At 35.1% G+C, this 24,404-nt stretch overlaps 1 protein-coding gene across 3 annotated transcripts in view; it reads left to right on the forward strand.

The window, feature by feature from the left end:
* Nucleotides 1-24,404, forward strand: part of GPC5 (glypican 5) — a 1,468,617-nt gene that overhangs the window by 596,097 nt on the left and 848,116 nt on the right. Inside the window, exon 7 of one of the 3 annotated variants that reach the window (XM_011521054.4) lies at nt 21,633-21,997. The exons of the other annotated variants lie outside the window; for them this stretch is intronic. Coding sequence (XP_011519356.1) covers nt 21,633-21,674 — 42 coding nt within the window. The 3' untranslated portion in view covers nt 21,675-21,997. Of the gene's footprint in view, nt 1-21,632; nt 21,998-24,404 lie in introns of those variants that run through there. 3 annotated transcript variants of the gene reach the window in all.

Below are 24,404 nucleotides of genomic sequence, written 5' to 3' on the forward strand. Positions count from 1 at the left end.
ACTACTTTCATTGTTAATTACACAAAAGTCCTTTGTTACAATCTGTTATAGAATTTTGTCTGGCATCAACCCTGATCCCCATTTTAGCAACTATCTTCCTTATAATTAAAACAACGACAACAACAAAAATGAGGCTACTATGTTCTGAAATTTATTTAATTCCAGTGGAACTTCAGATTTATGCATTTATTTACTTGTTTGCTTGTTTGTTTAGTTGACAATGTTTTTACCTGCAAACTTACCTTTTTTTATTTTTTATTTTTTATTTTTTTGAGACAGAGTCTTGCTCTGTCACCCAGGCTGGAGTGCAGTGGTGCAATCTCGGCTCACTGCAAGATCCGACTCCCAGGTTCACACCATTCTCCTGCCTCAGCCTCCCAAGTAGCTGCGACTACAGGCGCCCACCACCACGCCCAGCTAATTTTTTTGTATTTTTAGTAGAGACGGGGTTTCACTGTGTTAGCCAGGATGGTCTCGATCTCCTGACCTCATGATCTGCCCGCCTCAGCCTCCCAAAGTGCTGGGATTACAGGAGTGAGCCACCATGCCCGGCCTGAAACTTATCTTCTTTTAAATGACTTGACTGACTTTGCAATTTCCTTATCCATTTCGAATTTTGTAAAATTATTTTTTATTATTGACTGGCTATCTTCTGAAGTCTGGAGATTGTTCTTCTAGACCAAACTAGAAAAGGTAAAAAAGTAAGAGTTAACTTTGGGGCTGAGATTGAAATATGCTTCTAACACTTACAGGCAGCAAGACATTTGCAAGTTAAACAAGATCTAAGTGCTTCTGTTCTGTTCCCTTGTTGTAAAACGGGGAAAATAATAGCACTTTACCCACAGAACTGTGGTAAAATTTAAATTTGATTCTTGTAAAGCACTCAAAATAATGCCTCGAATATAGTAAACATTCAAAACTATTAGATAATTTTTTTAGTAACAACATTAGATACTAAACTCATGTTGTTTCTCTAAACAACTTAAAATCAATTTTATTGGTATTATCATTTTTATACAAGTTAGCTCATTTGAAATTATAAATCAGTCAGTAAGATCATATACATCTGGGCCACTGGTATATATTTAAGTTTTATCATGCATAAAATTCTCAACTTCTTCTACAGTTTCTGGTGCAATAAGGCATTTTAGGTCTCTGGTTGCAAGACAGACACTGACCTTTGTGGTGAAGAACCTAGGTTCCATGTGAGACTGATGGGCTCTACCACCTGCTAGAGGCTTGCTCTTAGACAAGTGCATTACTATTCAGATGGAATTATGGGCAGTTCCCTCTTTGGGTTGTGGCACTTGAAGCCTTTTTAATCCCAAATGTTTTATTACATTTACAGACTCAGGGGCAAAAGGTAAGAATTCCATTTATTCTCCTTTAGATCTTTCATTGTTTTTTTGAGGACAAGGAAGAAAATCTTCACATCCCTGAGCTCTAGATATTGATGTGGTTTATGTGTCTGTGTAGTCTAATGCTTGCTGGTCTATTTGGAGGCTGCTCTCCACGTTCTCACTTTTCCCTGCAGGAAAGTGTTAGATCAGTTATCTCCACTAGGACTCCAACAGGGTTCAAGGTCTGGTTGCAAACATCTTCTCTCTAGCCCAGGCTATAGCTAAGACTTAAGGGCAAGGTGGCCATATTCTAGTTGCTACAATGCAAGAGAATCTATTTGTGCAGAACAGAACATACTCATAAGGCACAAAGAAACCTATTACATTATAGTCATCAGATATAGTAGAATGAGACTTTTATAAATATTTATTTCTGCAAATCCTACAGAAGTAAGTTTTTAAAAGCAAAAAAAATTAAATATAACACATAGCAAAAAGTACAATAAACTAAAATATAGCTAAATTAATTGTCACAAAATATAGTTGTGTAACTGCCACTTAAGTCATGAACTAGAACATGGCAAGGACTTGAAAAAGCCCCCACTTTGTGTTCTCTTTGGATCCCTACCCCTCCCTCTAAGCTAATTCTGCTCTTACTTCTAACACTGTAGTTTACTTTGATCTTTGTTAATTTTAAAACACTGTATAAGTGGAATCACACACATTGTATTCTTTTTTGTCTGTCTCCTTTCATTGAACATTATGTTTCATTGAGTATTATGTTTACGTTTGGGATTCATCCATGTTGTAGTATGTAGCAATTGTATGCATTTTTATTGTTATGTAGTATTGTATCATACAAATATAATACCACTTGTCTCTTCTATTAATTATATTAGTATAATATAAAACATTATTGTAAGTATCTTAATTATAATATATCCCATCTATTATTAATATCCTTTATTGTTTATATTAGGAATATCGGTGATACACACATTTTTTTATTTTTGGTACATGTGAAGACACATTTCTATGGAGTATAGCTGTAAGCATAAACATTGGTTCATAGAGTTGAATTTTTTTAAAGTAATGGTACTAACTCACAGAACCACCTGTATATATGATGGTTCTGTTTTGCCTCCTATCTTCACTGATATGTCGTACTGTCAATTTATCTATGATACTGGATGAGGAGTGATATCTTATTTTAAACATAATTTTTATTTCCTTGTCTTCTTACAAAGTGGAGCACTTCCTCACAAGTTTATTGTACATATGTAATTCTTCTTTTGTACCATCCATCTTCAACCCTAAAGCTTATTTTCCATCAGGTTTTCAGCCTTCTCTTTGTTGGTTTGTAGATACACTTTCCATTCCAGACCAGTTCCCTCTATTTGTTAAATGTGGTACAGATATCTTCTTCCATGATGATTTGCCATTACACTCTCCTCTTGGTTTTTGTTTGTTTGTTTGTTTAAGACAGAGTCTCGCTCTGTCACCCAGACAGGAGTGCAGTGGCGTGATCTCAGCTCACTGCAACCTCCGCCTCCCAGGTTCCAGCGATTCTCCTGCCTCAGCCTCCCGAGTAGCTGGAATTACAGATGCAGGACACCACACACAGCTAATTTTTTGTCTTTTTAGTAGAGACGGGGTTTCACCATGTTGGCTAGGTTGGTCTTGAACTCCTGACCTCAAATGATCTGCCCGCCTCAGCCTCCCAAAGTGCTGGGATTACAGGCGTGAGCCACCACACCTGGCCCCTCTTGGTTGTTTTAATAAAGGGAAGTTTTAATTTGAATTTGCTCAAATGTAGTTATTTTCTTTATGGTTAAATTGTTTATACTATGTTTGGAAATAATTTCCCTAAAAGTTCTAGAAATTCTTTCAAGGTCATGAAGTTATTCTTCCATATCATTTTCTAAAAGCTTTGTTTTACACTCACATTTATTTTTATAGTAGTTTATAAATAGTATAAGCTAGCAAATAGAATTGTTTTTCTATTGCCTAATCACAGTTTATTAGATATGTGGATATTCAATTGCCCTATCACAATTTATTGAAAAGTTTTTTATTCCCTGTTGCTCTTCAGGACAAATGTCACACTTCACTTACTGCCCGTGTAGGGCTGAATTTGCTTCTAGACTCAGCATTCCATTCCCCTCTTCTATTTTTCTCTGTCTGTACCAATACTATCCAGTACTAAATGCTGTAGGTATAGAATAACTTGATACCTGATCCAACTCCTTCCACTTTGCTCTTCAAGATTATCTTGGCCTGATGGCATTTCTATGTAACTTTCTGAAAACATGCCAATTTCACCAAGACAAACACATACACACACCCTGTTAGAATCATGATTAATATCATATATAATTTCTGGATTAATTTTAAGAGAATCTGCAATTCATAATGTAAGGCTTTCCAATCCATAAACATGACCTAATCTCCTATTTATTGAGATCTTTAATTTCTTAATGTCATCCCAACCTCCACACCAGTTTTCACCATAGAACCACCTGTTATTATAGATCCTGGAAGATGATAAACACATTATCATAAATAAAATGGAACCCAATGTCTCTGCAAAGATACTATAATGAGAAAACTGAAAATGAGTGTGGCTTAATTGGCTTCCTAGTTCAAGAATATGTTATTTTCTTGTTACAGCAAAATGCAGTTTAATTTAATAAATGGTGTCTTTGCCAGGAGGTGGCGAGTCAGTCTGTGATTCACATTATGTAATGAGGGCTTATTATTTTTTGCTGGTCCTGGTATGAGAAAACCTAAACCATCCGTCCAAGCCACACAGAACTGAGTTATATGACTGAACTGTCCATTCAAAGGGCCTTATTGACCTAATAGCACTGAATAGTTCAAAGATAGATAAACAGAACTTCCCTGAGTCTTTCTTACTAGAACTAGCAGAACTTCAATAAAAAATATAATTCTAGCTCAATAGGCTTTGCAAATTTTAATGTTGGCCATGTTTAAATCCTTTCTCTTTAACCTGAACTTTACAGTCTGTATCTCTGGCTATGGTTTGTAGTTGCATTTTTCTCTGTGGAATCAGCTTTCCTCTCTGAATAAAGAGAAATTTAATCTCATTTTATGAAGAATTCTATCTTCCTTAAGTGCATCAAAATAACCTTTTTTTTTTCTGTAATGCTATGAAACATACTCCAGTAAAGCTTAATGCAGGAAATTATCATTTAATCCCATATTGCCTAATTTCACATGGCCTCTAAACACATTCAAATTCAGAATGTGAGAAGGTAAAACTATCTCTTCAAAAGATGATGACCATAATTCCATTGTCAACTTCAACCTCAAGGATGGATAAATAGAAATATGGAATCATTTTGTTTAGGTATTCCCCATTTTGCTTAAAATTTTACTTCATTATATTTTGCTTAGTTGACTTGTTCACATATTGACTTTTCCCTTTGGGCTCAAAGATGTTATTTACTTGGGGATGTGGGATGTTTTTCCATTTCAAATATATTAGATACAGACTCAAACCTTCACCAAGTAGCAAAATGAATACTCAAACAACATAATCAATAAATAGTCATTCTCTTTTATTCATTTGCTGTGAAAATCTCATGGCCACCTTATTCGAGTAATAATGACTTGTTTCTAGATGAACAATCTCATCATGTTTGTCAGAATTCACTTCTATTATTTTAATTTTATTTTACATCTATGTATCAATGAAAATCCTAGAACCAAAAAATGTAGATGTAACTCCTGCACTATATTCTGTAGTGGCAACACTGGACACATAATTTTTCTAATTCCACTTTCTGCATCTGCAGATAAGAAATTTTAAGGAGTTACTTTGAAAATTAAATGATAAAGTCCATGAATATATATAATAAACTGAAAAGTTCTGTATCTAAATATAAGTTATTTTTGCTGAATTGAAATCTGGCCAGTGATCTCTATAAAACAAGCTTAATTCTCAAGAGCTTGTATTCTTGAAGATGAAATAAGATCTAACATTTTCAAGAATGTAATCCATGAATAAAAATTGTAAAGGTAATAATAACAACAATCTGTTTTAATCTGGGAGATACCTGCTTGTGCACCCTTCTCCTGGGTAGCCATTTTCATTTCTGTCTTCCCAAAATTCTTAACAGCATATGCTTAGACCAAAAGAGTGGTTTCTCCGAGACACTGAGCACAAACATGGTGTGCATATTTTTTTTATTAAAAAATAGTTCTATATTTGGATAGAGGAAAATAGAAACAAAAGATATGGTTACTATCCTTGTATTTTTGAGACTCAACTATTCTTCAGAAATAAATATATATCATTCTTAAAACTTTAGGTGAGACACATCTTCTAGAGTTTTGTCCAAACTGGAGTATATTATATTATAATTATATTACAATATAATAATGTCATTACTCATTAGTTTACCTAGAATTACAGTCAATGTTTGGAAGGTTGTAGGAATTTCCAGTTTTTTTGTTGGCATTGTGTTTGTTTAGGCCTTAAATGACTTTAGATGTGGATGATTTTCCCAATAGAATGTTCAGCAATTCATTTTTCTTGAAACACAAACAGATATGCTGTCTGCGTGCCCTGCTGGATGGCCAGAATCCTCTGGGGAACACACTGATTGTAACTAAAGGCAGTCATTTAGCACATCCTCAGATGCTGGCAGGTAGCAGGCATAATAAGCTGTGGGATTTCTTGGTATTTAGCATGCCTCTGAAACTGAGAGGAACCATACCTTTTATAATTTTGGAACTTTAGCAATATAGAACACTATATGTAAGGCTAGGCAATGTTACACGCCATGCCATTTCAGAAGGGTTCCAGGCTATCCAAATCCTATTCAGGCCACTGAGAAAGCTGGGTGTGGAGAATAGGTAACAGCCACACAGTGTTGAGGCAAAATTAAGTGAAGAGATGGCCTTAGCTGTATTGGCTTTCACCATTCCTGGCTCAGTGCCTGCCACAAACTGTACTTTAAGTAAGTATGTCTTCCTTGGATACCAAAGTGTCACTTCCATTTGATCATGTTCAGCATTGTGGTTCCAGAATAATAGGCATAGCATAGTTTGTTTAAGCAAAGCAAAGACATTGAGGGTGAAGTTGTTAGTACTATTTTGTGAGTTATAGTTATCCCCAGTGAAACATTACTTGAATACACACAGGTGAGTTATTTGGAAAAGCAATTAATCTCAGGAAAATTAACTACTTAAATGCATATACTATGATTGGCAAAGGGATTTTGTTTTTTCATGTAAATTTTATTATGTTTTTTGGCTTTGTGCTAAATATTATCTGGTGCCAAGAGTTATTTGAAGGCCAATGCTGGATCATTCAAAATGAGATTACAGAGATATATCAAGATTCCATTATAAATTGAGCAATTAAAAAAATACTATTGTTCTTACTTTTCCAAGTTTCTCTCTTGCCTACTTTTGGACAGAGATACCACAATCCACTAGATAATATAAGTAGAGCAGGTATGCTGATATTAGTACTGGAATGCTGAGGGATCAATTTACACTAATTTTTAATTGAAAAAATGGCCATGTAGTAATTGAAAGCAAAAGCATTTAATACTGGATACTGAAGAAATTTAATTTAAATGTAAAAAGTATTGTAAAAGTTAAATCGTATTCCATTACATTTTATTTTTTGTGTCCACAAGAAAAATATTTTGATGAAGGTATACATTTTTAAAAAACAATCACTTTTTTCTTATTGCAATAAAGAGCACTTGAGAGAAGCATATTAGATACAACAAAAGAAAATATTAGTGAATTGGAAGGCATATTAAACTACTTACTTTACTGGAATTCTCATTTTTAGTTTTGACATCTGTTTTATATTTTTGTGCCATTTGGAATGTAGGTCAAAAATTCTTGCATTGTGAAAGACATTAAATAACATTCCAAAATGAATTGTGGACAATAAAGAGTAAGCCTTTCTGTGCCTGTACATCTGCTGTCCTCCACACAATTTCTGGTACTGACATGAGAGGCGGTAATTTTTCTTTTTGTTTCCTTTTGTTTACCCCTCTCTCTGTATGTTTTCTGAATACTTTGGAACAACTGACAAAAATCTGATTTGGTTGCTCTGAAGGACTTACAGATAGGGAATACCTACATATACCTAAGGACACAGGCAAGGAAAGGTTAAAAAAGAATGCTTCTATACAGGGAGAACAAAGAGGTTTGTTAAATTGTATTACAAAAAGCGTATTAACTGTCATTATCTCCATAATTCTGCCCAGTCTAAGATAATCCATTTTCACCTAGACTCCCAAGCAGAAATTTTACTCTTGTCACCCAAAGGAATTAAAATATTATCTTTTTACACCAAAACTGAGACAAGAACACAAAATTCCAAGAACTGGGCAGGAGTCAATAAACCATAATGTCTTACATGGAGAAAGAGATGCCATTGTGAGATGATAAGCAAAGCAGATGCCACCAACATTTTGTTGGATGTTGTGGAGGGAAAACCATTCTTTATAGTAACATGTTACAAAGACTGGAAACATAAGGGATACATTTGAATAAGCACACAAAAATAGTAAAAACGTATGCAAAGAATTAAAGTACCAATTCAAATAGGCAGTATGCTATTTAAAGTAAACAAGAAACAAGATAGGAATGGAACATATAAAGTGAACAACAACCAAAAAAAACTACTTTTAGGAATGACCAAATCAGACAATACTACAGGCTGGTGTATCTTAATTTCTAAAAAAGCAAAAACAGACCCTTTCTTTATTCAGTTGATATGAGCTGAAAACTCTTCCCTGTGCCAGCACTCTGCTGTTCAGAAGCTGAACCTACAGGGTGGATGGATGTAACCACAGTTGTTGGCTATGTTGTTACTTAGAAACAAAGAGTAAAGCATTTAAGAACATTTAAATGGAAGAGTAGGAAACCCTGAGGTACTTAACAAAATTTAAAAGTAGTAGAAAAAAATTACTCCACCTGGCCAGGCACAGTGGCTCACTCCTATAATCCCAGCACTTTGGGAGGCCAAGGCGGGTGGATCACCAAAGGTCTGGAGTTCGAGACCAGCTTGGCCAACATGACAAAACCCCGTCTCTACTAAAAATACAAAAATTAGCTGGGCGTGGTGGTGCATACCTGTAATCCCAGCTACTCCCAGCTACTCAGGAGACTGAGGCAGGAGAATAGCTTGAATCTGGGAAGCGGCAGTTGGAGTGAGCCAAGATGGCACCACTGCACCCCAGCCTGGGCAACAGAGTGAGTCTCTGTCTTAACACAAAAAAAAAAAAAAAAAAAGAAAAGAAATGTTTTAAAAAAGAAAATTACTCTATCTGATATTGTAGATAAGCACCTAGTATTTGCTCCAATCCATAGAACATCAGAAATTTACCATCCAATCGAGATTTTTTTTTTCAGTGAAAGGATGTTTGTTTTCTTCAATTGAAAATATTAGAGTTAAACTCTATATGCAGCAGTTTGAACCCAAATATAACATTTAACAGATTATAGGATGTCAGTATTTCAAATCTAGTAAGGCTAAATTGTACATTAGATGAACACATTTACAAATTTGTTTTAATCGGTTCAACTAGTTAATTCTTGATTGTAATAGTGCACATCCAATCTGTATTTTGTTATTCTTTTTGCTATAATCTAATTCCCTTCTTTTCTTGGTAATTAAACAAGCATAAAAATAAAGAAATAACAGCCCTTTCACATCTACTGTGAACAATAATACAGTAAGTTGTGAGTAGTCTTGATCCATATTGATGAAATGTTACACTTCAGAATTCAGGCAGTACAAGTACAAAATGAGAGAAGATTAAAATCACTAAATCTGATCTGTGAGAAGATTAAAAACAAGCCTCTTATAATCTCTCACTGCTGCCAGAAGTGGATTAAAAAATTAAAAGATCCTCCTACCTCCTCACCAGGAGTTTTATGAAGTATATACCATGAACATCACTAGAATTTTGAACAAGAAACTTGATAGAAAATTTAGCTGAAGCTATTTTTCCTATAGAATATTTCTCAAGATTTTGTTACTGTAAAAACAGTTTTGACTTTATTTTCCCAAAGTGTTTATTCTTCTTATGCATTTAATAATGACACTATAGGCCAGGCGCAGTAGCTCATGCCTGTAATCCTAGCACTTTGGGAGGCTGAGGTAGGTGGATCACAAGGTCAAGAGATGGAGACCATCCTGGCCAACATGGTGAAACCCTGTCTCTACTAAAAATACAAAAATTAACTGGATGTGGTGACGTGCGCCTGTAGTCCCAGCTACTCAGGAGGCTGAGGCAGGAGAATCACTTGAACCAGGGAGGTGGAGGTTGCAATGAGCTGAGATTGCACCACTGCACTCCATCCTGGAGACAGAGTGAGACTCCGTCTCAAAAAAAAAAAAAATTATATATATATATATATATATATATATATATAATTACACTATAGCTTTTCATGCAAAGAGTACTTATCTACAAAGTATATATGACTCTATTCATGCAATCAGAGTCATGGATTAAAAGAAAATTAATGTTAGATAGAATAGAGTCACAATTTACATTAGTACATTTTCATGCTGCTGATAAAGACGTAACCGAGACTGGATAATTTATAAAGAAAAAGAGGTTTAATGGACTCAGTTCCATGTGGATGGGGAGGCCTCACAATCATGGTGGAAGGTGAAAAGCACATCTTACGTGGTGGCAGGCAAGAAAGAATAAAAACCAAGTGAAAAGGGAAACCCCTTGTAAAAACATCAGATCTTAAGAGACTTATTCACTAACATGAGAACATTGTAGGGGAAACTGCCCTCATGATTCAATTATCTCCCACCAGGTCCCTCCCATAACACGTGAGAATTATCGGAGCTGCAATTCAAAATAAAATTTAGATGGCTTGCTTTTATTCTGGCCACACTGGCAGCTGATTAGATTTTGCCACCCAAATTGAGGGTGGGTCTGCCTTTCTCAGTCCACTGACTCAAATATGAATCTCCTTTGGCAACATACTCCATAGACACACCCAGGAACAATACTTTGCATCCTTCAATCCAATCAACTTGACCCTCAGTATTAACTATCACACAAGTTTAGCACAAATCCCCTTTGTTTGCAATCCCTAAAAAAGAAAACTAAAGTCGGTTAAGATTTTCCCTCCCTGGCTTACAGGATTCCATCAAGAGGAATGAAAAGGGAGCCCAAGAAATTTCTTATACTTCACAAAACTGCAACAGCCTTACACTACTTTGGCCTTTTATCCACGTTTAAATCTGTTGTGACTAGAAGCTGAAAACTCACTCTGCCACCATAGTCTTCGCCTTGATTTCTCCTCCCGTTTGGCTACAGCCCTCTTGATTCTAGCTTTCCTGTGGTTAGGGCCCTCAGCTTCAGGTCCTCACACCAATACCACATTTTTAGTGATGTCTTACACAGACGTCATAGAAGGGACTATTATCCCTTCTCCTTTCAGGGTTCCTTATCCTCCTCTTATCCCTAATTTTATGTATAGGATATATTGCTATTTACAAATATTTGTGTATGTATTATATATGTATATACACAGATACATGTAACTTATTTGATTATCCATATCTCCCTTCTAGACTATAAGCTCCAAGAAAGCAAAAACATTGCCTATTGTGTTCACTGCTATATCTCCCTGCACCCAGGACAGTTCCTAGCCTATAATTAGTGATCAACAAATATCTGCTGGTTCTTCTGCATATGGATATCCAGTTTTTCCATTGAATGAATGAATGGTTTAACAATATTGGAATATTTCCTGAGTTTATATCATTATTGGGAAAGAAGATATTTATATGCCACTAAATTAGTTACTCATAGATAGTGGGAGAAAAGTATCCTCAAGCTAGGAGCACTGTGTATTCTCAAAGAAACTAGATGTAACCTGATAAACCTTTTTTTCTGGCTATAAAAGACCCACAAAAGTCTATACTTAGCATCTACCCCAAGACATGAAAGAAAATATATTTTCCTTTCTAATGTTGTCACTTGGAGAAATACTTAGTCCAGTTATACCATAAAAAGTATCTTACACCACTGAGTTTGTATATTATAAATGTATAATGTTTGTGGCTTTTATGACATATGTGCAAACAATATACAGTAAGTATTATCTGTCTTTTCTGTACTCAAAATGATGGCATAGTCTGAATCATCAGAAGTAAAATTGGAAAAATGTACCAAAATAATTTAAGTGGATAAATGACAGCTAAATATACAGAAATATATGTATATTTTGACAGTGCTTCCTAAAACCATTTCTGTGAAATGTGAGATTACTTCCTAAATGAACTCTAGTTGCCTTATCTGGAAAAGTTGTACTTCTGTGACAAGCAATTAGCACTCTCTAAGGCTAAGAAATTGTGTGTTTTAAAAAAGTAAATAAATATTGATTTCCTTTTAGCTTGAAGAGTTTTGAAACTCCACTTGTCTAGCACAAAAGTGCCTTCCTACTACCTTTGTCTTATACTAGGCTCTGAATTTCTCTCCTAATGTCGATTCATACCCAAGTAAACTCTTGATCTTGTATCAAATGTAGTGGAAAACATTTACCTTTAAGTTACTTCCAAAGAGAACTTCCTTGACCTACCAAGATCTTACAATCAAAGATGCTTGTATTTCTCAGTAGACTTTTCATTATTTCAGATTATGAAAATGAAGAGAGAGAGACACACACACATTCATAAACATACACACACACACAGATATAGTAGAAGTATATTCTTTGCCTAATTTTGTGAGTTTCATAGCTTATAGATTTGGAGAATGATCGAGTTGGCTGATTTTCATTATCCACTCATTAGTTAATTAACTTTGTTTTATTATAAAGTACATTTTTGTAATGTTGTAGCATACATAGTTGTGGATGTTATGAATTCTGCTTTAATTACATATCTTCAATCATATTGCTTAGTTAAGTATTAATAATTGAGTTTGTCTTATTAAGCACTTTCTTGTGACCTTTAATATGATAAAGTAAATTTGTATTGATGCTAGTGTGCAATTTTAAACCATAAAAGTTCAGTATGCAATATGACATTTCATTCCAGGGAAAATATTCTTAGCTGTTTTCACAATTTACTCTCAATATCAAGCTATAACAGGATTTCTATTTATCAACACACTGCATAATGGCCAGGCCAGCATACATATTTTAAAAGGCAATAATCATTTGACATTGCACTATGCATTTGGCTCCCTGTCATCATTTGCCTCTACTAATCATAACAGTAGATATATTGGCTGAAATCTCCTATTGGAGTTGTAGTTTAGTCTACCACATTTTTCATTCCATCAGTTTTTGTTTTATGCATATTGAAGTTCTGATATTAGGTTCATACACGTTTAGGATTGTTTAATGTTTTTGATGAATTTGCCCTTTTGTCATTATAAAGAGTCTGTCTTTATTCCACATAATAATATATATTTTGAAATATGCTTTGTGTGAAGAGCTACTCCAGCATCCTTATGATTCGTTTGTCACCAATATTAATATTAGATTTATCTCGGTCTTTATATTTAAATTGTGTGTCTTTCAGGCTGTATATGGTTTATTTTAAAACACAATTTGTCAATCTCTGCTTTTTTAGAACTTTGAATCGTTAGTTTTTAGTGTAATTATTAATATAGTTTGATTTGAAATTATAGTTCTCCTACTTGCTTTCCACTTTCTAATCTGTTCTAGCTTGTTCTTTTCCTCCTTTTCCTTTTATTTTTACTCTTTGTTTATTATCTAGACGACTTTTAAAATATGGTCGCTCAAGATGAAATAGGCACTGGCAACGTATCCTAGTCTCCCTTTATGCCATGTACACCTTCACATATGAGGACTCCAAAACTCTATACTTCCGTTTCCACTTTACTCTTTGGGTGATTGTTCCCATAGCATTTACTTCTACATATGTTATAAATTCTATAATTCCTGGTTATTAGTTTTCTTGGAACAGTACATGACTTATCAAAGAACACGGTGAATGAGAATAATTTTTTTTTTTTTTTTTTTTTGAGACGGAGTCTCGCTCTGTCGCCCAGGCTGGAGTGCAGTGGCGCAATCTCGGCTCACTGCAAGCTCCGCCTCCCGGGTTCACGCCATTCTCCTGCTTCAGCCTCCTGAGTAGCTGGGACTACAGGCGCCCGCTACCACGCCCGGCTAATTTTTTGTATTTTTAGTAGAGACGGGGTTTCACCGTGTTAGCCAGGATGGTCTGGATCTCCTGACCTCGTGATCCGCCCGCCTCGGCCTCCCAAAGTGCTAGGATTACAGGCGTGAGCCACTGCTCCCGGCCGAAAATGTTTTATATTTACCTACAGATTGAACATTTTTCATTTTTCATTCCTTTGTGAAATTTAGCGTTTCCATCTGGTGTCATTTTTCTTCCCCATGAGGAAGCATCTCTTTATGGGTTTTTTTTTTAGTGCTGTTTGTTGGCAGCACATTCTTTCAGTGTTTGTTTGACTAAAAGCAAAATTATCTTTTTAAAAAATAATTTTGGAATAAAGTTTAGCTGGATATAGAATTCTATTTGACAATGTAGTTCCATTTTTCTTCTGGTTTAATTAAGCGGTTTCTGAGGAAGAAGCCGGCAGTAATTCTTGTCTCCGTGTTGTGTTTGCTAAACTTCCTGAATCTGTGAGTTTTTCGTTTTCATCAAATGTAGATTTTTGACATTACTTCTTGAAATTTTTTTCTGCTCCCCTTTCTCCCTTTAAAAATTACAGTTTCACATATGTTGTAATGTTTAATATTGTCTCATAGGTTAGTATGCTCTGTTCATTTCATTTTTTTCCTTTTTTTCTCTATGTGCTTCAATTTGCATAGTTTCTATTGCTATGTCTTCAAATTCACCAATCTTTCCTTCCGCTATATCCAATATGCTTTTAATACCATCTAGTGAATTATTTATATCATATATTTTACTTTCATCTGTAGAAGTTTTATCTGATTACTTTGTTGTATATTCCATTTCTTGCCTAATTATTTTATGTTTTCCTTTAAATACTTGAACAAATTTATAACAGCTTTTATTTTATAGCATTATCTCTTTCATTTCTGGTTATGCGTCTACTGAATAACATTTCTCTTGGTTAAGAGTTCACTTTTTTCTTCTTCTTGGCATATACAATAATTTTGTATTTGATGCTCATTATTTTTTTTTATCTGTTGAGTGCTGGATTTTCGTGTGTGTGTGTGTGTGTGTGTGTGTGTGTGTTTCAATATGGGATGGATTTTGTTGGAGTAACCAGTTTAGTTACTGGGAGATCAGCTTGATTTTATTTCAGAGCTTATTTTTAAGCTTTTTTGTGGGGGTCTTGAATAGCCTTTGTTCTGAGGCTAGTCTAGTTGTAAAATAAAGGTGACAATGTCTAGAGACTCTACTAACTATTCAATGAGAACTCTCCTCTCTGGCAGGTCAAAATGTAAAAACATTCCTCAGTTTACACCCCTGTCCCCCAATCATTCTTGCTCAGGCAGGTAGAGTTTTATCTTACACATATGCAGCTTTTATATTCAGCAACAAAGTCTAAAGAACCCAGTGCAGATTTCTAGGGGTTTTTCTCCTTGTAGCTTTCCACTTTCTAATTCTTCCCTGCAAATTCCAGCCACCTCTGCCTACCCAAATAATTTCCTTTGTCTCTTCAAGTCATTCAAGCTATCAAATGTCACTTGAAAACCCCATTTCTTAACCACTTTCTTGAAGGTTCCTCCTGGCAGAGAGCCATAGCAATTAAGGACTCACCTTTTTTATTTATCTTTTCTCACAGGTCATAGTTCTGTGCTTCCTACTTTCCAAGCTTAAAACCATATTTCACAGTTGCTTTCAATTTCCACTTATTTATATCATGAGGGTATATAGTCTAAGTCCAGATACTCATCTTGAGAAGTGGAATCCCCTTGTATAATTTTGTAAACATAGAGTACTTTGTATAGATATAAACAAAGGAAATAATATAAAATGATAAATGCATAAACATATATAAGGATAATATAAGCTTGGCAGACTTACTCATCTTCCTCAGGTATTTCTAAAATACTGCATTCTTGGTAAGGGCTAACATTATTACCCTGTTTGGGATTTCACTCTGTTTCCATTCCCTATCCTTCTTTCCTGTTTTACATCTGCTTCAATACGTTTATCAGCACTTAACATATCATATATTTTACATATTTATGTTGTTTATTTTCTGCTCTCCCCCAGCCTCAAAGTAAAGTATAGCCACATACACTTGTGGGTTTTTGCTCGTTTTATTTATTGTTGTTTTCTAATATGTAGGACAGTAAATCACATATAGTAGAGGTTGAATAAATATTAGTTGACTGAGCAAATAAATGAATATCGCAATAAGAGTTTTATCTGGCAAGGGAAAAAAAGTTGAGGAAGTGCTAATTGGATTTTGCAACTGCACACATGTTATGGACTGAACTGTGTTCCCCAGAATCTCTATATTGAAGCACTAAGCCCCAACATAATTAGACTTGGAGACACTATTTTTGGGCAATAATTAAGGTTAAATGAGTTTATAAAAGTGAGGCTCTAATCCAATAGGACTGGTATCCTTATAAGAAGAGGAAGATACATCACAGCCCTCTCTCCCTTTCTCTGTCTCTCTCCACCCCCACTGCAAGGAAGAAAGGCCACAGCAAGAGAATGGTCATCTCTTGTTGTGTAAGGACACAGCAAGAAAGTAGGCATCTACAAGCCAGGAAGGGAGGCCACACGAGGCACCAACCATGATGGCACCTTAAACTTTCAGCTTTCGGAATTGTGATAAAATAAATTCCCATTGTGTAATCCACCCAGTGTGTGGTATTCTGTTATGGCAGCCTGAACAGACTAATACAAACTATAAGACAATATTTCTTAAATGATATTAGGAGCAAATATGCCAAAATGTTATAGATTTTCTGGAAGGAGGTACAGAGCTCTTTATTATATTTATCTTCAACAGTTTTGCATGTGTGTGAATATGTACCAACATGAAATACATTAAAAATACTCTTTCAATAGATGTAAATATAACTCTATATGTGTAGATAACTATATAGATAAGGAATACATTTTAAGCAAAGATTTTTCATTAGAAGACAGAATGTGCAAAATATTACATCGTGTCTAGAATATGATAGGATTCATTAAGGAGTAGTTCCTTTGTTCTCTTCTCCTTTCCATCCTCTATTTAATAGACGAATTGGTCCATAAGTATAAATATATACTAGTGTGTGATCATCATTTGTAGCTGTTAACATGCAAAAAATTTCAAAACAAAACATGCAATGTGTTATCCATGTGAAATATTAAACTTTCTTGGTCTGAAAAGTCAAAGTCACAGGACTACCCCTTCCTGATAAATATGATGGAACATAAATACTCTGTCATGTTTCCCAAGGAGATCTGAAATTTGCAAAATATTGAATTTTGATTTATATTTTTAAGCCTTGTAAGCTTGTGATTCATTAATAGCCATCTTAGTCCCAGATCTGCCTCTGGGCACTGATGATGCTGCCAGTGTGAGAGCAGCAGGAGATGATATAATAATGTGGCATCCTCTTATGGGGTATTACAGTGGAATTAGAAAACAGCTATTGAACTCAGTTTTGCAAGACTGTTCCTTATCTTAACATTTTCAAAGTCAATTAAACATTTAAAAATCATTTATATATAAAGTGCTAGTTTGGTATCTTCAGTGAATAAAGTAATAAAATGCTTATCAGTATATTACTATCTTTAATTAGTCTACTCGATTTTACAAATTGAGTGGACACTGACAAATTTAGAATCTGCACTACCACAATTAATTGCTGTAATGTTCACAGGTCAGTGCTCACATTGATAATGATTTTTAAAAGTCAGACTTACAGAAAAGAGTTTATTTCCAAAAGCCTAAATCTTCTGTTCTCAACCGGAATGGGGAAGGTTTGAGGAGATTCTATGAGGATAGCTGTGGAAGTGAGCCTGTCACAGTTGGGTAATTCAATGTAGAACTTCTAGAAAATAATAAGAGAGAATTTAATATTATATGAAGCTCTAATAATGTAGACCTGAGTTTAGTCAAATATATTTTATTAATGAAATTATGGTTTTATTTGTCTTATAAGGTCATTTCAGTAATATATTCCATTTTTCAACATCCTCATTTGGCATTGCTTTTTAATAGCTTGATTTGAAAACGATTTAATTTTTTTCATTTTCTTTTTGCCTTTTCTCTACCTATTTGCTATAAATACATAGGAACTTAAACTATCAAAACATGCTAATTGTATTAAATTATAAAATAAACACTTTTATAAAGGAAAACATTTTTATCTCCTCTTGTTACTTTTAACTTAATTGTTTATCATCCTGATTTTTTTAAAAAAGAATTTCTTCTTGCATATTTGGATGCCAGAGAAAATCACAAATAGTTGTAAAACAAAAGTCATTTGAATGAAAGAACATAGCACTTTTACTGATGGTTTGAGAAAGTTAAATAAGTACCACTTAATTGAAGTAAATTATAAATTTGAATCTTTAGTCATGCAATAGGTATTCATTTCTTTATTTTTTGTAGACATAAAGTTAAAAAATAAAAAGTTGGGGTTGTTTTGTCTGATACTGGATCACTGGATTCCAATCTATGAATTGGTCACAGAGTAATAATACTTATCATATGTTTCTACATAAATGCTATCTAAGTTTACATTTTATTATAAAATAACTTTAAAATAAGAATTAAGAATTACTGATGCTGGATTTCTCTTGGCCCCTTTGTCAGACTCGTGATGGGGGTGAACATTTACTCAACCTGCTGTGCTCACCTCTTGTGGGAGGGAGCATGCATGTGAGTGAGTGCAGGACTCACAGCCAGACCAGGCACAAGTGAGTGCATGTGGGACCTGGCCAGCAAGCTCTGTGTGGGGCCCACACCCAGACCAGGTTGTGGGGGCCTGTGACCCCGAAGCCCCAGAGGGCATGTCACATGCTGTCTTAGCTCTTCCATCTGCAGACAGCTGTGTGTTATCAGCTCAGTTGGCCCCTTGCCTCGTTGCATGTGGCAGCTGCCCTCTGCCAGCAAGAGCAAAGGGCCAGTGGTGACAGCCTTTTTTGGATACCTGCAATTGGTGGCTCCCAAACTCTTGTCCAGCATCCAAAAAGAATGAGGTTGATCAATTGGACACTTGAAGGATGGTAAAGGCAGAGAATTTTATTTAGCAATGGAAATGGCTCTCAGCAGAGAGGGGAGCTGGAGAGGGGATGGGATGGGCAGGTAATCTTCTCCTGAAGTTCAGCTGGTTCTTTTCTAAAGTCAAGCCACCTCTCCTGAGAAGTCTAGCTGTCTTTCTGAAGTCAAGTTGCCTCTCTCCAGTCAAGCTGCTTCTCTCTCCTCTTCTGACTGAGTCTGGGGTCTTTATAGGCACAGGATGGGGTAGGTGGGGTTGGCCATTGGTAGTTTTGCAAAAGGCAACATTTGATTGGCAAAAAGGCATTATTCAAAAGGAACCAATTGGGAGAGAGCGAGCAAACAGGAATAGACATTCTCGCTTTGGGCCATGGGTTTCAGGCTACTTTGGCTTAAAGGTGGGTTTCACCAGGGACCTGCCCCTGTCTGCCTTAAATTTCTCTGCCTCCTGCCTCTATCATTACTTGTGTTAAATTCCCTTTTTCCCAGCAATAACGTACCCAACTTGATAGATTCCAAGCCATATAATTTTTAAATTTTTATTCAAATATTTATCTGATTTTAACTTTAACATGAAAAATTTTTATTATATTGCAATTATTCTTCATAAGTTCAGAAAAACCTATAAATTGTCATATAAAGCTTCATAAATCAAAATTAAAACATGATATATGTATTTATTATTTCCCAAAACAGATATTGCCACCTTTTGCCATCAATTTAAGTAAGAGATCATAGATATAGTGAAATCATGTTTCTGTAATAATCATGTTTATTTTTCAAGATTCATCCAAAAAATTGAGACTTCTAGGATAATTAGGCTTTAAATGCATTTGCATACTTTAATCATTTTTATAAATAGTAGATTCCAAGTGCCATGAGAACAGAACATTTTCTGACTTGCCTTTATCTACTTAGCTCCTAGTACAGTAACTGACACTTATGGAGTGCTCATTATGCATAAGCCCATGATGTAATGCTGACTATAGATACAAAAGTCAAAATTTAAGAGGGCAGAATAATCACCATGAAAAAATCTGTTTTTCTTGCTTGATATGCTGATGTTTTCAGGTAATTCTGATGCTCTAACTTGAATGGCTGAATTGGCTGGGCTTTCATTGTGTTTCTTTTGGTGATCGTAATTCTTCAGCCTGCCCACGTTGTTGTTGGTGTTTATGTTAGCCCCAACACCAAATAGTATCCTCCTTACAATGTGAAAGGAATTTCTGGTATAATTCAGAAAAACATAAGGGCAAGCTTTGACAATGAACCTTTAATCAAATATATTATTTTACTTCCATATCTCTAATGGAATCTATTGCTTGAGATTTGAAGGGTTTTCTTTTTTTGGTGTTTAATATGTTCCTAATCCATTCTGGAGACTCTAATGTTACCATATTAATTTTCTAGAGTGTGTTACAATATTTTACAATATGAACATGCAAATAACTTTTCATGTTGACCATGAACAAGTGACTTATTCTAGTATAATATATACATTATTGACTCAATTTGTTGGTGATATCTTGAATATTTTCTTTTCCTGAGGTCATCTATAATATACTTACACTGTTGTATTAAATAATGCACTCAGATCTATGCATTAGAAAGATGATTCTAAATTGGGCAAAAAGAGTGTGCTTAGAAACTGAATAGTCTTAGCAAATATGGGAGTGCCTTGATTCTTAGAAATGGAAGAGTTTGGGTGGCTGATTTGAGTGATGAAGTTGATGTGTATATTTGGGCAAGGGATCTAGTGTCAGTCACAGGGAGGTTCCTTATTCTTCTCACCTTGGAGCCCCTGAGATGCATCTAGTAAGTACCTTAAACCAGTGATTCTGAACTTGGTAAAAACTGTGCCCCACAAGCAAATACTTTTCAAAGTCTAGAGACATTTTTGGTTGTTTCCTCGGGGAAAGGGTTGGTATTGATATCCAGCAGTAGAGGCCAAGGATATGTTAAATATCTTACAATACCCAGGACAGATCAGCACAACAAAGAATTAGCCAAAAATATCAGTAGTGACGGATGCTATTTAGAAACCCTGTCTTAGATTGAGAAAACACTGAACACCAGTGATATGGTTCTAACTGTCTAAGGAAATAACCCTTTTTCTATAAAATCCCCTTTTATAGTTACACATTTTAGAGGACCATTTTACTCACTAAATATATTTATTGTGGTCAAATGAAACATGCTACTGCATATCTTCCACCCAGGTCCCTCTTCTCCTACAAAAGGAAAACTACATAAAAGTAAGTAAATTGAAAAGCAAATGGGCATATTGTAGATACATTTTTATCTACACTACCTAGTGTTTACTGTTTTTATTTGTTATTGAGAGGTAGTAAAACTCAAAGAGATCAAGTTATCTCCCGTAAGTCACAAATTAGTAGAATTCAAACTAAGAGCTTATATTTTGTGCCTAGTAAGCTTTTTAATTCTGTAGGTGGAATAACTTTTTCATGTGACAGATTTTCAGGTGCTTAATTTTTTTCAATCTCCATCTATCCCACACATCTTTTACAAACTATTTCAGATTCAGTTATGTATATATAGCAATTATTGTTGCAACAAATGCCAAGCAGATAAATGAATGAATAGAATTATTTTGGGAGTTGAAATATACCTCACTGAACATCTCTTTTATTTACTTTTAAATGCTTACACAAAAAATAGCTTATATATTGTCCATACAACAATCTACTCTACTGCTTCTGGATGATGGGTGCATTTCTTCATGCAGTAATTCTGCAGTGCAGGGAAATAAGTGGAAAAGGCACAATCACTTCTGAAGTTTTTATTCTGATACACATCACTTCCATTTACCTCTGCAGTGGCAATAATTAGTACATGACCACATTTAGATAAGAATCGGGTCAAGAAAGTGGTTACTGGGAGAGCAGCTTGCACTTTTCAATGTCAAATGCACGCTATGGAACTTGAAGTACAGACTTTTGGTGGAAAGGGTAGCAGAGGAAAAAGAAAAAGAATTTATAATGAAATGTCTACCATTTCTTCAGTATTTCCAATATGTCAGACATAATGTTATACATGTTTTTCATATATTATTTATACATTGTTTTATGAAATGGGAATCGTTGTCTTTATTCTGCAGGAAACAAATTGGAAGCTTTTCGGAATGAATCATCTTATCTAAAGGCTCACAGCTACGTGACAGTAATGTTGAGATTTGCCATGTTCTAGTGACCCTGTAATTGTTATAAGCAAGAATTTAGGGTGGATGACCTATAATTCAACTTCTGATTCTAAATTTTATTTTCTTTCTTGTTTTTGATTTCATATGCTTGATTCTACACATATTTATGCACCTTTCTGTGCTTAATGTATTACTGCCAATACACGCCTAAGCTTTTAAATGGTGTGAATCAATATAGGCTCTTTGAATGTGGTTTCATATTTGAGTGTTATTTTGACAGCCATTTTAACTAAAATCCTGTAAAATAAAAATGTTTTCTCTTATTTTCTTTTCTTCTTTTTTTTTTTTTCTTTTGAGCCAGAGTTTTGCTCTGTCACCAAGGCTGGAGTGCAGTGGTGCGATCTTGGCTCACTGCAACCTCCGCCTTCTGGGTTCACTCAGTTCTCCTCTTCAGCCGAGTCTCCACTAATATCATCCTGCCTGGGAAGAGTAGGAATGCTTTGTTACTATTTCCCAATGGCCTCTACTGATATTATAGGGAGTACAGTGGCCTCATTACCTCTGGACAATGGTGAAAGTACTGTCTCCACTACATTTCTTTTGACAAGACTTTAGCAGAGAGGGGAACAATGGCCTGTCGATGCTGGGTGGTGTTGGGAATCTCTACACCAACCCATGAGGTATCCTTTTACACTGTGGTGGCGTGGTGGAGTTGGTGGTTGTGGTGTAGGGGCTCTTTACTCTCTAGCAGGAATAAAGGTTGGTTTTCCACCTAGCATCCTCGGACACCAAGAGTGCTGAGGCTGGTGGCTGAACCAACTCATTACAACCTGGTAAGAGTGGAGATCTAGGACTTCCACTGACTTTTCCTAGTGATATGTTATTGTTTAATATTTTCTGTTTTGGTAGGCTGATCCTTTTCTGGTTCTTAGGTAGAGAGAGCTGGCTCTTTTTTTCTGCCTGTACTCATTGGTCATCCCGGTTTTCTGGCTTTTCCAGCATTCAATCTGGGATAAGTGATGCAAAAACAAAACCCAAATAACTCACTGCCAAGTCATCCTTCATGCCACAGTGTCCTTTGGCAGGTTATCATTTCTTCAGACTTCAGGGTTGTCTTATGTTTGTTTTATACATAAAGTCCCCACCTTTCTGAGAGCTGGTCGGTCAACTCACATTTTTAAAGTTCCAAATAATATTATAAGATGTTGAACTTCTGTATTAAAAAGAAAATTCATATAAAAATATGATTCAGTGGATGGCATATAATCAGTGCACAGTGCCTTTTAGAAATCATAAGACCCATGTGTGTCTATACATGTGCACAAGTACACACACACATGCACAAGTACACACACACTTCCACAAAATAAACACACACGTGCATGAGTACACACACACGCATGAGTACACACACGCATGAGTACACACACGCATGAGCACACACATACACACTTCCACAAAATACACACATACGCGTGCATGAGTACCTACACTTCCACAAAATACACACGTACACGTGCATGAGTACATACACACTTCCACAAAATGCACACATACACATGCACGAGTACATACACGTGCAGCACGAGTACACACACACACACACGAGTACACACATACACATGCACGAGTACACACACACACAAGCTTCCACAAAACACCTGGGCCTTTAGTGGCTGAGGGCTTTTTAAAGAACTGGTATCTGGAGCAAATTCTCAGAATTGCCAAATTCATTGCTAATGAAATGCAACCCCGGTGCAACAGCTCTTTGAGAATTGCATAAATGCCTACCAAAGGTAGGCATTTATTTTTTACAATAAGTAAGTCTTTTTAAAATTGTTTCAGCATCCAATTAGTATATGCCTTGGATTCCATAATATCCTCAGATTATAAAATAGTAAAAAATATTTTTATATGTGTATGTTTAAAAAAAGGTTTCACCTAAAAAGTTTAGTTTAATGGCTTTATGTAGATATGAACAGAATTTTGGGGAGTTCGACTATATAAGGAAGAGGGAAATAAGAGGAAATCTAATATTATCCCATCTCCTAGGACAGAAACAAAACGTAACGTGCCTGTTTTTTATTCAATATTTGTGTTTGAATGGTACTTAAAAAAAGAAAAACAACACAGGATAACCAAATTCAAATATTTTATGCTTCTAATCATCCTCAATCTCTGGGGTGGTGGGGGAGCAGTTTATGTCATTATATATTTAAGTGAAGTTTAAGAAAAAAGCTCAAATTCTGAAGAATTCAAAAGATGTCATTAAAAATACGTAACTAGAAATCAAGATTTTCAAATTCTTCAGTATTTTTAATAGGTCCTTTTTTCTATGATATGGGTTTTTATAATTAGTTATAATCATAAATAATCACTAAGAATTCAGGATATTTTTCAATAGTATATGCCAATAAATATAAAAGTACATTTCTATAACAAAATCATTTTTATGAAAATAATTCCTTGTTTGAAACCCAACACAAAAACTAAAGGATGCAGAGCAAACTTTGATGCTTAAACTTAAAATCATGAATATGGTAGAAGGCACACTAACGGTTTCATTAGTATCTTCCTAAATATTGTTAGATTCTTTGGTACTTAATCAATAATAAAATATTGGTGTATGTTCGATATTGTTTCTACTGAAAGAGAATTAAGAAACACATTACATTGGAAACACATTAATTTTACTAAAATATACATATATGCTAATAAAATCAAGTGCCT

The sequence above is a fragment of the Homo sapiens genome, chromosome 13 (assembly GCF_000001405.40).
Source record: "Homo sapiens chromosome 13, GRCh38.p14 Primary Assembly".
NCBI lineage: Eukaryota > Metazoa > Chordata > Mammalia > Primates > Hominidae > Homo > Homo sapiens.